This window comes from Homo sapiens, chromosome 1 (genome assembly GCF_000001405.40).
Source record: "Homo sapiens chromosome 1, GRCh38.p14 Primary Assembly".
NCBI lineage: Eukaryota > Metazoa > Chordata > Mammalia > Primates > Hominidae > Homo > Homo sapiens.
The window spans coordinates 46692130-46708728 of NC_000001.11; the positions used below are offsets into that span (position 1 = coordinate 46692130).

General features: G+C 39.5%; 1 protein-coding gene across 1 annotated transcript in view; it reads right to left on the reverse strand.

The window, feature by feature from the left end:
• The window catches only part of EFCAB14 (EF-hand calcium binding domain 14), a 43956-nt gene that overhangs the window by 16971 nt on the left and 10386 nt on the right, over nt 1-16599 (reverse strand). Inside the window, exons 3-4 of the mRNA NM_014774.3 lie at nt 15777-15922; nt 4422-4520 (exon numbers count right to left, since the gene is read on the reverse strand). Coding sequence (NP_055589.1) covers nt 4422-4520; nt 15777-15922 — 245 coding nt within the window. The remainder of the gene's footprint in view (nt 1-4421; nt 4521-15776; nt 15923-16599) is intronic.

The following is a 16599-nucleotide window of genomic DNA, read 5'->3' on the forward strand; positions in this document are numbered from 1 at the left end:
TGCCGATCGTTCCCAGGCAACCACTGATCCACTTTCTGTCACAATAAATCAGTCTTCATTTTCTAGATTTTATATAAGTAGAACCAGTGAGCAAGTAGTGCTTTTTAAAGTGTGGCTGCTTCTACTCAGCAGAATTGGGATTCATCCATGTTGAGGCTACTTGGCAGGCTGCCGAGCAGCATTCCATTGTGTGGCTCTATCACAGTTTATCTCTCCCCCTGCTCATGGACATTTAGGCTGTGTTCAATATTTGACTATTACAAATGAAGCTGCTATAAACATTCGTGTTCAGGTCTTCATGTGGACTTATAGACATTCCCCTTTATCATATGCTTTCTAATCGCCATAATACCTAGCAGGTGAATGGCTGATCATATGGCAGGTCTATGCTTCACTTGTTAAAAAACTGCCCAACAATGTTCTAAAATGGTTATGCCATTTTACATTCCCACCAGCAGGGAATGAGAGTTCCTGTTACTCCATATCCTCACCAATCCTGTACCAATATTGGTACAGTCATTCTTTTCAACTTCAGCCATTCTAATGGAAGTGTATATTGTGATTTTAATTTACATTGCCCTAATGAAACACTGCCCTAATGAAAATCGGTGTTTCTGATTATTTCAAATATCTTCAAACTATGATTACATGTAGTGTATACTGAGATAATTAACAGGACTCTTTCTCTATCAATCAAACAAGTAATTTTCTTAATTTAAATGATTTTTCCTAGAGGAAAACCAAATCTTCCCTAAAGAAAAAATATTAGTTTATAAATCTGGAACCCAGGGATAAGGTTCTCTCACAAACTGCCTCTGTCAATCCCTGCTGTGGGAAGGCAGATGGCCGAGCTAACACAGTAGACTGCCACTTGTTAGGAGCAAAGGACACTTCGAGCAAAAGTGGGAGGGAACCATATCTGGCTTTGGGAAACTCAATACTGCAGAGATGAAAAAAAAGTAGAATCCTGTCAGCAACCACTGAATAGGGATATGAGTAGTGGCTTACTTTGCTTTCATTAGCCCTAAAAAGCCCAAGTGGACAGGGAACTTGGAGATATAATTCAGAAGCCATGTTTTAAAAAAAGCCTGTCCTAAGGGAACATCTAAAAGGGTGTTACTATTCAGTGAGTTTTGGCCTTTTCAAGACATGCTGACAGTTTTACAGTGCCACATTAGTATTTTTAACCAAGGTCATTTTTATTACACTGATATCCAAGAATCCAAGAGAACACGAGATGACACTAATAAAAATTACATGAGATACAATAAAGTTAGGTATTTGGCATGACCTACCACTTCAAAACTGAGCCACTTGAAAGAAACACAGTGCCTGGCATGATAAACACACAGATTTGCAAAGAGACAACACACTGGGTAAAAGTATCTAAGCTGGTTTGCTATCTATGTAAGCTCTGTTGCTATCTATGTAAGCTCTGAATGCCTGTTGCAAAAGCTACAGGCATTCAAAGACACCTACTGTTTGTGAATCCAATCCTCACTGGCTGGATGTATGAACCCATTGGGATGCCAGAAGATAGTAAGCTCTTGTTTAAGGATTTTTTTTTTCTTTTCTTTTTTCCCCTAAGGAAGCAACTGACAGAGCCATGTGAACTCTGGAGCAAAACTCTGAAACTAGTATTCCCATCAACAGCAAAGTGCCTGGTACATACTGGAGGAAGTTCCACAAATGTTTATTGAATGAATAAATTCAAGAATAAACCAGTTTCCTTTTCTGGTACCAAAACAGAGATATAGACCAATGGAACAGAACAGAGCCCTCAGAAATAATACCACACATCTACAACCATCTGATCTTTGACAAACCTGACAAAAACAAAAAATGGGAAAGGATTCCCTATTTAATAAATGGTGCTGGGAAAACTGGCTAGCCATATGTAGAAAGCTGAAACTGGATCCCTTCCTTACACCTTATACAAAAATTAATTCAAGATGGATTAAATACTTAAATGTTAGACCTAAAACCATAAAAACCCTAGAAGAAAACCTAGGCAATACCATTCAGGACATAGGCATGGGCAAGGACTTCATGTCTAAAACACCAAAAGCAATGGCAACAAAAGCCAAAATTGACAAATGGGATCTAACTAAACTAAAGAGCTTCTGCACAGCAAAAGAAACTACCATCAGAGTGAACAGGCAACCTACAGAATGGAAGAAAATTTTTGCAATCTCCTCATCTGACAAACGGCTAATATCCAGAATCTACAAAGAACTTAAACAAATTTACAAGAAAAAATCAAACAACCCCATCAAAAAGTGGGTGAAGGATACGAACAGACACTTCTCAAAAGAAGACATTTATGCAGCCAACAGACACATGAAAAAATGCTCATCATCACTGGCCATCACAGAAATGCAAATCAAAACCACAATGAGATACCATCTCACACCAGTTAGAATGGTGATCATTAAAAATCAGGAAACAACAGGTGCTGGAGAGGATGTGGAGAAATAGGAACACTTTTACACTGTTGGTGGGACTGTAAACTAGTTCAACCATTGTGGAAGACAGTGTGGAGATTCCTCAAGGATCTAGAACTAGAAATACCATTTGACCCAGCCATCCCGTTACTGGGTATATACCCAAAGGATTATAAATCATGTTGCTATAAAGACACACGCACACTTATGTTTATTGCGGCACTATTCACAATAGCAAAGACTTGGAACCAACCCAAATGTCCATCAGTGATAGACTAGATTAAGAAAACATGGCAGATATACACCATGGAATACTATGCAGCCATAAAAAATGATGAGTTCATGTTCTTTGTAGGGACATGGATGAAGCTGGAAACCATCATTCTCAGCAAACTATTGCAAGGACAAAAAACCAAACACTGCATGTTCTCACTCATAGGTGGGAATTGAACAATGAGAACACTTGGACACAGGAAGGGGAACATCACACACCGGGGCCTGTTTTGGGGTGGGGGGAGGGATAGCATTAGGAGATATACCTAATGTAAATGATGAGTTAATGGGTGCAGCACACCAACATGGCACATATATACATACGTAACAAACCTGCACGTTGTGCACATGTACCCTAGAACTTAAAGTGTAATAAAAAAAAGAATAAACCAGTTTCCTTTTCTAATGCAAGACTGTGAGAGCTGCTTCTGTACTAATGGCTACAGAAGCCTATCATTTCCTGAATTGGCCCTAGGAACAACGGCAAGAATCTGGCCTCATCAGAGTTGTCCCTACCCCTTTTTTTTCCCCCCGAATTTGTAAGTAGATGGCCACATTGGACAAGTAGCAAATTATGGAGACTGAGCACACACAGATGGTGTGGCTATAAAATAGCAAATTTTGTCTTCGCTTATGGCTTAGAAATTTCTTGCTCCTTTGTGGAAAGAATTCATATGCTCATAGACCCTGGCACATAATCTGACCAAACTTAGCACATATTTTTATAATTCAAAGATCCTAGATTTGATATCCACCGTTTGGGGAATCCCTTCTTCCATTTCCTGTGTCAGGGGATGATGTTCTTTATGTTCGAATTAGGCACCTCTTCTGCCTTCCTACCCCTATCCACTCTTCCCGTCCATCTCTAAGGATCCCTGAGTACTATTCATCTGGTTGGTCACAGCTCACTGTAGCCTCAACCTCCCAGGCTCAAGTGATCTTCCTACTTCAGCCTCCCATGTAGCTGGGACTACAGTTGTGTGCCACCATGCCCAGCTAACTTTAAAATTTTTTGTAAAGACGAGGTCTCCCTATGTTGCCCAGGCTGGTCTGTAATTCCTGGGTTCAAGTGATCCTCCTGGCTCAGCCTCCCAAAACGTTGGGATTACAGTCATGAGCTACCATGCCCAGCCTCCAAAGTGATTTTTACCAATTAATACTCCTAGCAGGAGCAGGAGTGTTTGAAAATTTCCTTCGTTCCACATATCCTTGCCAACACTTGTTTCCTGAATTTTTAATTTTTGCATTTCCCCAGGTCATCTTTTTTTTTTTTTTTTAACTTTCTTAATTATGGAAAGTAACAGAGATTTAGGGTAACTATCATGTACAATTGGTCTGCTTTGATGAAGATATTGTGAGTGGTGAACTGAAAAAGCAAGCTGAAAAGCGAACCCATATATGCTAACACAAGAGTGCCAGCAGAGCAATTCTGGGACTCAGAGAGCCAAATAAAAAGGTATGAACCCATATAAATCACAGCTGAGGTAACCTGTTGCAAATTAAAGGCCTAACTAACCAGACCAAAACAAAATTGTTCTGAATTCTTTAGGACACAGTGATACACTCCATTACTGCCCTCTTGGAGCAGCTGATTTCAAATGCTAGGCTTTCAATGAAAACTTATAAGAAGCTAGAATTATGGCAAATAGTACCCACACATGGCACCTACCTTCTGAAGTCTCTGTACCCACACATGGCACCTACCTTCTGAAGTCCCTCTACAGTGGTAGGCAGGCTAATCAAGTCTGCAGCTGACTTAACATTGGCTTTGAGGTGGTTCACTGCAGAAGTCAACAGAGAAATCTGAACAAAAAAGAGTAACAAACAATGAAAACAAATGAGAATTTGTAGAGGACACGTTACCTTCACAAACTCTACGGTTGGTGATGTCAAGATAGTCTAGGATTTTATGTGTTTCTGCAACCCTGTCAGCTCACAGAAGTAAAGGAGACAGTACTTTGGATAGAGTTGGGATCTGGGAGGCAACAATAATACCCCTTCTTTCCCTGCCCAATTTGAACACTAGTGTCAAAGAGTGAAGGCAAGTGTTATTCTTTACCCTGTCCTGGCAGCACAAGATCCCAAAATCTTAAATTACTCAAAAGATGCTGTAATTATCACACACTCCCTCAACAATTGGACAGGAAGAAAGCTAATGATGAAGGATCACTTCAAAATTTCATTTTGGTAAAATGTAATACCTCAGTAATTTACCAAACTTTTGTTCCTGCCCAAGTGGGAACATATAAAGTAAAAGCCCATCTCACAAAATACAGTCTACAGGAACTGCACTCTGACAATTTGAACAGCACTTTCAACTACTTGGGGATTTGGTTTTGGTTTAAAAATGTGACTAATATTTCAAACTCAATAGCTCTACCAGAGCACTACTTTGTATCCTGAAGGGGCTCAATAAATACTCACTGACTCACTGACTGATGCAATGTATGTATTAAAATAGGAATTTAATCAAAATAAAATGAGGCTTCCGTTCTGCTATTTAGGCATAGAATTCTAAACATCTAGACTTCGCTCTTGAATGGGAACTGGGGGAACCTGTGTAATAGTCAGTTTCAGGCTGCAGAGACAATATTCTAAAAGCTTTGCAGTTTGGCTCGAAACACTTGAAAGACTCTTAGTTCTAAACCGCTTTCCCATTCTAAATTCTAGGATGAGAACACAGATCTACCAATAGCAATTATATTCAGAGTGGCCTCAGAGTACCCACCAGTTTCTGGGCACTTGTTATGGGCCAAGCACAGTGGTAGGCACTGGGGGGTGTAAGACAAAACAGAACCTGATTCCCTACTCATTCCTTTAGCAAATGTTTGGCATCTCTGTGCCAGACACTGCTGCAGTCATTGTGGAGACAGCAGAGAGGCAAACAAGACCATGAAGCTCTGCTCTCATGGAGCATACATCCTAGTAAAAGGTGACAGAAAAACAAAGAAAAGAAATCAGATTGTAATAAGTACTGTGCTAAGAATTTTTTCCTTTCTCTCTCTCTCTTTTTTTTTTTTTTTTTGAGACAGTCTTGCTCTGTTGCCCAGGCTGGAGTACAGTGCAGTGATCTTGGCTCACCGCAGCCTCTGCCTCCTGGGTTCAAGTGATTCTCGTGCCTCAGCCTCCTGAGTAGCCGGGATTACAGGTGCATGCCCCTACACCTGGCAAATTTTTGCATTTTTAGTAAAGATAGGGGTTTCGCCATGTTGGCCAGGCTGGTCTTGAACTCCTGGCCTTAAGTGATCCACCTGCCTTGGTCTCCCAAAGTGCTGGGATTACAGGCATGAGCCACCATGTCCGGCTATGCAAAGAATTTAATTTAAACAAAGCTCCCTGAGTAAGTAGTAGTAGCTTGGTCTGAGACAGGGAGTCTGGTAAGGAGCCTGGGAACTCGGGAACTCAAGTTCTCTTTTCCCTCTTTTCTTTTAGAAGGCAAAAGTTCAGAGGCTTAAGATGAATTTTCAGCCACTCACTAATAAAACAAATACTACTGGACCCTATTATTCACCACTGGTGAACAACACAGATGTCAGGGATCCTGTGGTGTTTACATTTTAGTGCAAGCAGACAGACACTTTTATATAGAAAAATATCAGATAGTGGGAAGCACTAGAAAAAAATTAAAATAAAGTAACTTGACAGGAGTGACTGGGTAGCAACTTTTAGACTGATCGGTCTGAGGAGGCCTCTGTAAGGAGATAAAATTTAAACTGAGATCTGAATAGTAAGAAAGAATTAATCATATGAAGATTGGATGAAGCCTATTTCAGGGAAGAGGGAACTGCTAGACCAAAAGTCCCAGTACAGGAAAGAGCTTGGCATATTCAGAGAACAGAAGTTTAGGTGGCAGGATCTCATAATGTGTGTGTGTATGTGAGAGAGACAGAGAGACAAAGTAGGTGGTGAGGCCAGTTGTGCAGTAAAGTGCCAGAACAGACAGGACTCTGTAAACCAGAACAAGCACATGGGTTTTACTTGAGGTGTGATAGGCAGGGGTGTGTAAGCAGGATAATTACATGAATGGAGACACCTTGGAGGAAGACTACTATGGCTGTCAGTAGAAATGGAGAGACCAGTAAGAAGGAGATCTGTGTAGTCTCGGCAAGAGATAATGGTGGTTTAGACTTGAGTGGTAGTAGAGGTAGTAGCAGAAGTAGAGATGATACGATTTGCTGGGACTGGGTGTTAACAGTGGGGAAGATAGAAGAATTAAGGGAAACTCTTAGGTCTCTCACCTCAAGGAGCTTTCAATATAACTGAGAGACAAGGCAAGAGTACATTAAAGAAACAATTAAGCATTAAACGTGATACTGAATAAAGTTCTGAGAAAAGGATATCAATGCAAGCTGAAAGAAACAGGCTTCGCTGAAGGAGGACTCAAATTGGACTCTGACAGAGAAGTTAGAATTTTATACATAAAAACCAAGCAGGCATTCTTTCTAGGTTAGAAGGGTGAGGGTGGCATCGGGGGATAGGGAACACAGTATGAACAGGCTCAGGAGTACTTTCTTTTCATAGCACTTCTCAAAGTGACAATGATTTGTTTAGGTGGTTATTTGATTGAGGTTTCTCTCTTCCACAAGACTATAAGCTCCACATGATCAAGGACCATGTCTCTTTTACTTTCCACAATACCCGTGATACAAAGACTGGCATTTGTTGAATGAATGGCTGAGAATTAACACTCTGTGTCTGGGATGGACATTGAGAAGGCTAGTCTAAGCAGAGTAGAAGACAGAGGCCGGGGGGTAGGAGATAAGGCTAGATAAGTAGTGAATTTATTCTTTTCATCAGTAACTGGGTATAATAATAATAACAACAACAACTATTTAACAACTATCTTATAAGGATACGTGATGGTTTCAAAATATGTCTACAAATTCTTTGATAGTCTTCTTCCCTTCAAGAGGTGAAACCTACTTCCCCTTCCCTAGAGTGTAGCCTGACATAAGTAACTTGCTTCTACAGAAGAGAATAAAGTGGAAGTGACAACTGGCAACTTTAGAAATTAGGTCACAAAAGGTCCTATGCCTTCTTCTTTGCTCTCCTTGGATTAGTCACTCTGGGGAAGGGAGCTGCCATGCTGTGAGGACACTCGAGTAGCCCCAGAATGACAAGTCCATGTTGGGAGGAACTGAGGCCTCCTACCAAAAGCCATGTGAGTGAGGAACCTCCAGCCCCAGTCAGACCTCCAGGTTATAAAGACCCGGATGACATCTTAATTGCAACCTTAGAGATCTTGGCCAGAACCAGTCTGCTAAGCTGCTCCCAAATTCCTGACATATAGAAACCGTAAGATACTAAATGACTGTTGTTTTAGGCCACTAAGTTTTGGGGTAATTTGTAACCAAGGAACAGATGATCAATACAGGCTATGAGAATTAAATGAGACATATAATCAAAGCTCTTAGCATAGTACCTGGTACAGATGAAATATCAAATAAGTGACAGTTCTTTAATAGTGAAATTAATAAGCACTAAAACATGCAATTCTACATAAGGACTCCAGAATAACCAGACTAATCATCAACATTGTAACTCTGTTCATTTAAAAACAAGATGGGTGAGAAACCTCAGTCCACAGAGATACTCTCAGCAAACCATAAACTTCCTAAGAGAAGCAATTACATTAAGGAGGTTTTCACTCATGCCTTTAAAAAGATATGAATGATATCCAGGTTTGAAAAGGACATATAGAAACAGGCATTTTCATGCTCTGCTTATGGGAGTATAAATTAGAGAAGACTTGTAAGAAGTTTATCTAGGAATATCCATCAAAATTTGAAATGTTTATATTCTTTATTTTAGCAATTTCATGTCTAGAAATCTTATAAAATAGCTCATGTACATGATATATTTTTTAAAATAATTTTTCCTTATTTGTAACAGCAAAATACTAGAAACAATTTAAATGTATATCACTAAGAATGTGCATATATTCAGTGGAAAAGCAAGCTGCAGAACATATATTGAATGACCTTATTTATTTACAAACACACACGCATGTTAACCCATAGGCTAATTCATACTAAAAACTATTATGATTTTGTAAATAGAGAACTAGGAGGATGAAGCCCACATTACTGACTGGACACCTATGGGGGCATGAGAGAGAGAGAGAGAGAGAGAGTGAGTGAGTGTGTGTGTGTGTGTGTGTGTGTGCATGTGAGATGGGAACACAGAGATGGGAATTGAAGGAAAATTTTCATAGGATTTCTGTATGTGTTTTATAGTTTAAACCTTATATAAGAATCCACTCACAAATTACTTAAGAAATTTTTAAAAAGACAAAAGATGAGAAAGAAATACACACACAGGAAAAAGACGCCACATAACTTTGCAAAGGGTTTGATGGGTTTTCTTGGCTGACCCTTTCTTCCATGCCCTCACGGGGCTTTCTGAGACCACTGTAACATGCCCAATCATAAAATGCTAGGAAGGGTTCCTGCCCCAGGTATGTTTTCCTTAGTGCCCCAAAGTATGTACACAGTTGGTTCAAGATCAGTTTGAAGGGCAAGACTATAGTTATTCCTAATACTCTTATCAATTATGTAGTTACCTTTCAGCCACCTGAGGGGACAAACACCTTCCTCCACTGACAACTGGCCAGATCCTAAAGGAAGAAGCTGTTCTTTGGGTAAAAACTCTTCTTCCAGGTACTGAAAGTTCCAACCTCCTGAGGCTATGGCAGAGTGCATGGCTAATCAGAAGTATCTCGGGAATGGTAGTGGTCTCACAAAAAGCCAGTGTGACTGGTTGGCAGCTGCCGTTTCACCCAAAGTTAAGAAGCAGCTGAAAGCCAATGCCAGCAGGATCGAGTGAGGTGCTGCTGCACTTTTCTCTGTGCTGCAAACACTCTATGCCTAGTGTATCAGCTGCCTCACTGCAAAAGCATGCTCTGGAGAGCTGACCATTAACTTTCCAGGTACCAAACATCACTTAGGTCTTCTTACTCACTTATAAAACCTGGATCACCCACTGTTCCCTAGGACTTGGCTATTTAACCCATAAATTACAAAGCTGGATTCCGTCTTCTAGCATTTCTCTCTTCAGTAAAATAATGCCAACATCTGTGGAAAGCTATAGCAAAGCTTATATATGTAACTAAAATGGAGATGAGGCACCCTCCCATTACTTTCTCTGGAATTGCTCTGGCCTCTAACAGATGCATTCTAGAATGTCAGATCAGATTCAGGCATTAGAAAAGTCACACTTTGGAATTCAGAGTCTAAAAAGTTGAATTAAATAGAACCCATTAAGAAAAATCCATATTCCAGCCAAAAGATGAGTCATGACTTTTATGCATATTACATGACTTTTCATTAGAAAAATTAAAAATAGCTACAGTAGACCATTTGCTTAATACATCATTTTATACTATGAAGTTGGAAATGCTGCTTTTTTGCTTTGGGGTTGAAGTTAAGTGTCCTTTAAATAGTAAAGAAAAAGTTATTAAAACAGACAATCATCAATGATGAGTGATTATTAGTCCTAGCAGGGACTCAGCATCATATCCTTTCAGCTTTATCTACTGAGCACCTACTGAATCCTACAGGGGCTACCAAGATGTAACGCAGCATGGGAAGCTGGAAAGAAGAGAGGCTTCCAGGACTTGAATATTTTACTTTTAGTATTGCTACACAGCTGAGTGACTGTGGACAAGCTACTTAACTTCTTTGAACCTCAGTGTTCTTAACTGTAAAATGGAGAGAACACCTCCTACTTCATAGGACTGTAGAAGCCAAGAAAGGAGATCACATGTGCAGTGCACCTAATAATGGCTGGCACAAAGAAAGCATTTAATGAATGGCAGTTATCGTCAATACCATCATCGTTATCATCATCATTGCCATCGTTTTCTTTATCATCATGCTTAAGGCTTAGAGTACAGTGTACAACTTTCTAGTGCAATTAGAAGTATATGCAAATAAGCATCACATAAGGTATTTGGACTGAGTGCTAAAAGAGAGCTACACAGAGTACTATAGGAGAAGGGCACTCAAGGTCCTTCTTGATACGGCTCTTGCTGACTTACTTATCTCTGGCCTTTTTTACCAAACCATACTGTAGCTATAATGAGTGACTAAAATTCCCTGAACACACCATGTTTTCATTCATCTATACTTTTGCACATATAGTCAATTCTCATTATTAGTGGTAGTTATGTTCTAGAAAACTTGCAACAAAACATTCAATTAGTGAATATTGAACAACTGTTCCTTGGGGAAACACAGGTTAGGTTCCTGTGAGTCCTCTGCTCGTACTTTTTTTTTTTTTGAGACAGAGTCTTGCTCTTGTCGCCCAGGCTGGAGTGCAATGGCACGATCTCAGCTCACTGCAACCTCTGCCTCCCGGGTTCAAGTGATTCTCCTGCTTTAGCCTCCCAGGTAGCTGGGATTACAGGTGCTCGCCACCACGCCTGGCTAATTTTTGTATTTTTAGTAGAGACAAGGTTTCACCATGTTGGCCAGGCTGGTCTCGAACTCCTGACCTCGTGATCCACCCACCTCGGCCTCCCAAAGTGCTGGGATTATAGGCATAAGCCACTGTGCCCGGCCTGCTCAATTTTTTTAAACTGATCAATACAATACATAACCTTGTTGTATATGTATTTCTGTTTAAAGACATCTTATTTAATGCATATTGTTGACTCATTAGCATTGAACCCACAGCCAGCAGAACCATAACTCATGCCTGAAAGAAGCCTATCTAACACATGTATTTTTTCCATAGGGAACATCACAGTCTCCCTGCACTTTGGAACAATAGACAACACATTAGCACTATGGCTGAGGGACATTTTTGAACATGGAAATCACCAAAAACAGCACAAAAATATAAAAAATATGGCATTAAATATATTGTGAAAAAGACACTGTTTACAGTATGAGAGCTGAACCAAGAAGGCAGCATGTCACCTTGTTCAAACTCAGCTGTATATATGCATGCTGGGTGACTCAAATTCCTTGCTGCTCTGCATGTGTTGATGAATGACTGCAAAAGTGCCACAAGTATAGATTTTGAGATTACAAATAAATTTACCAAGTACAGAATTGATAAATTATGAGGATCAACTGCACTAATGTTCTACCTAAAATATTCTTCTCTCTTTCTGTAGAATTCAGCTGGCCAACTCCTATTTGCCCTTCAGGACTCAGTTCAAGATCTCTAGGAAATCTCACCTGGCTCCAATCTAGGTGAGATACATACTTAAAAATGCCCTCACAATACTCATTTGGACCTATTTCTTTTTGCTTATCAGGCTGCTTTACAACTGTTTACTTTTCTATTTCCTCCATCTGATTATAAGATCCTTGAGGGAACTGGGGGCAGTGGCTCACATGTGTAATCCCAGCACTTTGGGAGGCTAAGGTGGGAGGATCACTTGATTCCAGGAGTTTGCAACTAGCCTGGGAAATAGTGAGACCCTGTCTCTATAAAAAAGAAAAAAGAGAGAGAAAGAGAAAGAAAAAAAATTAGCCAGATATGGTGGTGCGTGCCTGTAGTCCCAGCTACTCCAGAGACTGAGGTGGGAGGATCACTCGAGCCTGGGAGGTCGAGGCTGCACAGTGAGCTGTGATTGCATCACTGCACCCCAGCCTGGGTGACACAGTGAGATTGTGTCTCAAAAAAAAAAAAAAAAAAAAAAGGTCAGAGAGCTTGTTTGCCCATTCTGTTCTGCCATGTGAGGACACAACAAGAAAGTGCCATGTATGAAATAATGAGCCTCCACCAGACACCAAATCTGCTGGTGCCTTATCTTGGACTTCCCAGCCCCTGTTGTTTTTAAGTTACGTAGTCTACGATATTTTGTTATAGCAGCCCGAATGGATTTAGACAGAATCCAAAGCCTAGCTCCATAAAAGCAGCTAGGTAATTGTTGAATAATGTCTTCAAGGAAGGAGACTCCCTATAACAGTCAAGAGGGAATGAGTATAAAACCAGAGGTTTCATGAATAAAACAGAAAAGTAAATTAGATTTCAACTACTAATTTAAAGCTTTTTCAAGGGAAGATTTGATTTTAACTTTTTTTTTTTTCAAACTAATGGCTTTTTTTTCAGATTATATTAACTTCAACTTACATTGTGATAAGAACAGTTCTCGTTAAGTGATATAATAACACTTCTTGTTTGAGCCAGTTTGAATTGCTTCTAAAACAACTGCCACTAAAAGCATCTTAAGTGACAGTTATGTTTAGATATGGAAACATAGTTAAATATTACTTTAATTTTTCTACCTACTTTGGTTTAGGACAGATGCCTCTGACTTCAACAGACCATCAGAGATGTGTAACATTAATTTTAGAAAACCACTCAGACAGAGAGTGCTGAGCTCCCTTAGGAAACAACACAAGTCTCTGCTTTCCCATCACCAATGCTCTGGGCCTGCGCTCATGGTGAAGTCCTCTGTTATCAGGCTGGCTTCATAAGTCAGTCCCAGCATCTTTGAAGGCATATTGATGCTGAAATGGAAAGGGTTTCACTGCAATCTCTTCCAGTTTCATAGATGAAGCCCTAGGACAGAAGCAAACTTTCCTATTTATAGCAGGTTCTTGAATAATATTTTGTCCAATGTCATTTGGTTATAACGTTGATGGGAAAAAAATCTGACTCCTGGCTGGGGCCACTGTCTGTTTGCATGTTCTCCTCATGTTGGCATGGGTTTTCTCCAGGTACTCCCACATCACAAAACTGTGCATGTTAGGTTAGCTGGCATGTGTAAACAGTCCCAGTCTGAGTGTGAGCGTGTGTATGAGTAAGCCCTGCGATGGGGGTGGCGTCCTGTCCAGGGCTGTTTCCTGCTTTGTACCCTAAGCAGGATAGGCTCTGGCCACTCATGACCCGATCCTGCGCTGAAATAAACGGATAAATATTTTACTTGCTTTTATTCATCTTTTGTAAATGTATGTATCGCTCACGTTTATTTCAATGTTGAATACTAGATGTGTTTTGGTCTTTATCTAGAAGTGTAGTGATTTTTTTTTGTGGCCAGAAATGTGCCCTAGGAATTTAACTTTTTTTTTCTTTTTTTTGAGACAGGGTCTTGCTCTGTTGCCCAGGCTAGAGTGCAGTGACACGATTACAGCTCACTGCAGCTTCAAACTCAAAGGCTCAAGCAATCCTCCTGCTGCAGACTCCTCAGTTACTGGGACTAAAGGTGTACGCCACCATGCCCGGCTAATTATTTTTATTTTTTTCTAGAGACAGGGTCTTGCTTTGTTGCCCAGGCTGATCTGGAACTCCTTGGATCAAGTGATTCTCCCACCTTGGCCTCCCAAAGTGTTGGGATTACAGGTGTGAGCCACCACACCTGACCTTAAGTCTTCTTTATATTAATTAGCCTATGATAAAACTGGTTTCATTATATGCCATTTACTTAAGTTTACAGTTTCCAAAAACCTATCAATGACATTGAGATTTACTGTATCTGCCTTCTCAGGTGCTTCTTGCATTAAAAATAATGGCAGGCTAAGAATAAAATGATTACTTTGTGTCTAGCTTCCTGGTTAAAGAGAACTCAGAAACCAACATATGTACCAAAGATTTGAAAATCTATGTGTTTTCTCCCACCATGTACCAATATCCCCTTTGACTCTTCCTATAATGTCAGTTTACAAGAACGAGATGAAAAATAGATAGCTGACTTTGCCTTTTCATGCTGAACGGTATCATCCTCCTCTCAGAATGGTAAACTGCATGGCTGGCTACCTATATGGAATCCCCAGTTTGCCCCAGGAGAGATGCTGATTATCTTTCAGTGCTTCAATGTGGTCTACTTTCACCTGATGTAATTTGCTGTGTGAATTTAGGCAAGGCCAATTTCTCCCATCCTTTTTGCAAAAAAGGGGTGAATACCTGCTTTTCTCTAATTACTTAGAGTCCAAAGGTAAAGGACAGAGGGTAAATACTAGACGGCTGTAACTCATGAATTATTTCATGAATAATTTTGAAAGATTAAATAGAACTGAATGGAAAGTGTCATAAGGCACCATACACATTAAGAGTGAGCTACTGTTTCAGAAACGTTTATGTCAGTTACAAATAGGTATGTATGCGTTTACTGGGTAATGATGTAAAACATTTTTTACTGCAGGTTCCAGGCAAAAGTTTGGAAGTCACTGCCCCACACTATTTATCATTGGTCTTAAGTGCTGAACTGCCCCACTCCTGGACCATTGCTGAAAGGTGTGGCTTCAGATACATTTGCAAGCACTTTCTTCTAGCACAGCACTCCTTGTCACTACTGGCTCATTCTGAACTTTGTGATTCTACTCTGAACAAGACAATACCTTCTCAGCCCCAAGAAAAATAATATCTATTTTTAAGCACTTTGCATGTGTGTCATTCATCTGGTACTTGACTTTTCTTTTCTACACATATACATTTCCTAACTAAATGGAAAAAGTAGGGATGGGGCTATAGTTACCCTGTGACAAATATGGTATCCTTATACATACAAGATGCTTGATCAACATCCTTAGAATAAGCCTTTATTCTCTGGCAGAGTCCCACTTCTGGAATCAATGCCTACTCAACTCTGGTCAATTTAGGGACTGGAAAAGTTTATGTTGTATTAGGCTTATTTGACTGACCAAGGTATTTAACCAACTCCATCACCCACTCCTAAGCTATTCTTAGAATGACTACTGTTGATGATTTCCAGATTTTGTAAACTCAAATGAAATAAGCTCTCATTAGCTAATAAAAATGGGTTATCTACTTTTCTTGGGGGTTAGATGACACTCCTTTTTTATCTGACACCTATTCTACTATGTAGGAAAGGGTGATTCAAGAAACTTCCAACTTTCTCTCAACTGCTGTATTTAGTAGAATTATTTTCTTTTGCAGAAAGGATTAACATTTTAAATATCTGGTAAATGCATAACTATTTTACCTGACTTTAACATGCTGGGATTACAGTATGCAAAACCCCATTTCAAAAAGTAAAACAAACTGAAATGAATTCCCTATACCTACAATTCTCTATATCCTATTCATACTAAACAACCAAACAAATATTCATAGCTTACACAGCAAAAATCAAACTTTTAGTACCTGCTTATTCATTTCTGTGATGTTTATCCAGACTTTGTTCAAACCCATCTCTCCAGATTCAATCTTCTCAAGTTGTTTTTGCTTGCTGAGTAGTTCTTCATTAAGTTTGGGGATTTCTTGGAATGAGCTTTTCTGATTAGATTCCACTAAAAAGACAAAATAAGAACAATCATAACTAGCATAAAGTGCCCTCATGGTCCTAAGATGAAAAAATCATCAAACAGTAGGAAAGAAGATGGATTAATAAAAGTTAATTCTGACATTGTTCTTTTATTTATGTAAATATATATCTTTCACACTAAAGCTCCCATTTTAACTGGGGCTATTTCACTGCTGGCAATGCAACTTTTAAAAGTTAGCCAACTAAAAATCATAACAGAATGTGAGCAGAAAGAGTTGGCTTTGAATCTCAATTTTGTGACTCACTATGATCTTGAGCAAATTACTCAAATTCTTAGAGCTCAGTTTCCTCATCTGTAATACAGCGATAAAATATACTTTCACAGGACTGTTAATATTAAGTGAGAGAATGGCTGCAAAGCACTTAAGACAGCTGGTCATAGATGATAAATGCTAAGTACTGACCAGCTCAATTAAGGAGCTTTTAGATTAGTCAATTAAGATTTATAAATCTACTCCATTAATGCCCAAGGTGAGATTATAAGTTATATTTCTAAATGCTTAAATCTTTTTCTACCTTAGTCAACTGCAAGGGGGAGGTTTTACCACCTTTCGAATGCTGTTACGAGGGCTAAGATTTTTAATCTTTTTCATAAGTAGTAAACAGTATTTTCTTAAGTCTTAAATCACCCCAAAACTCAAA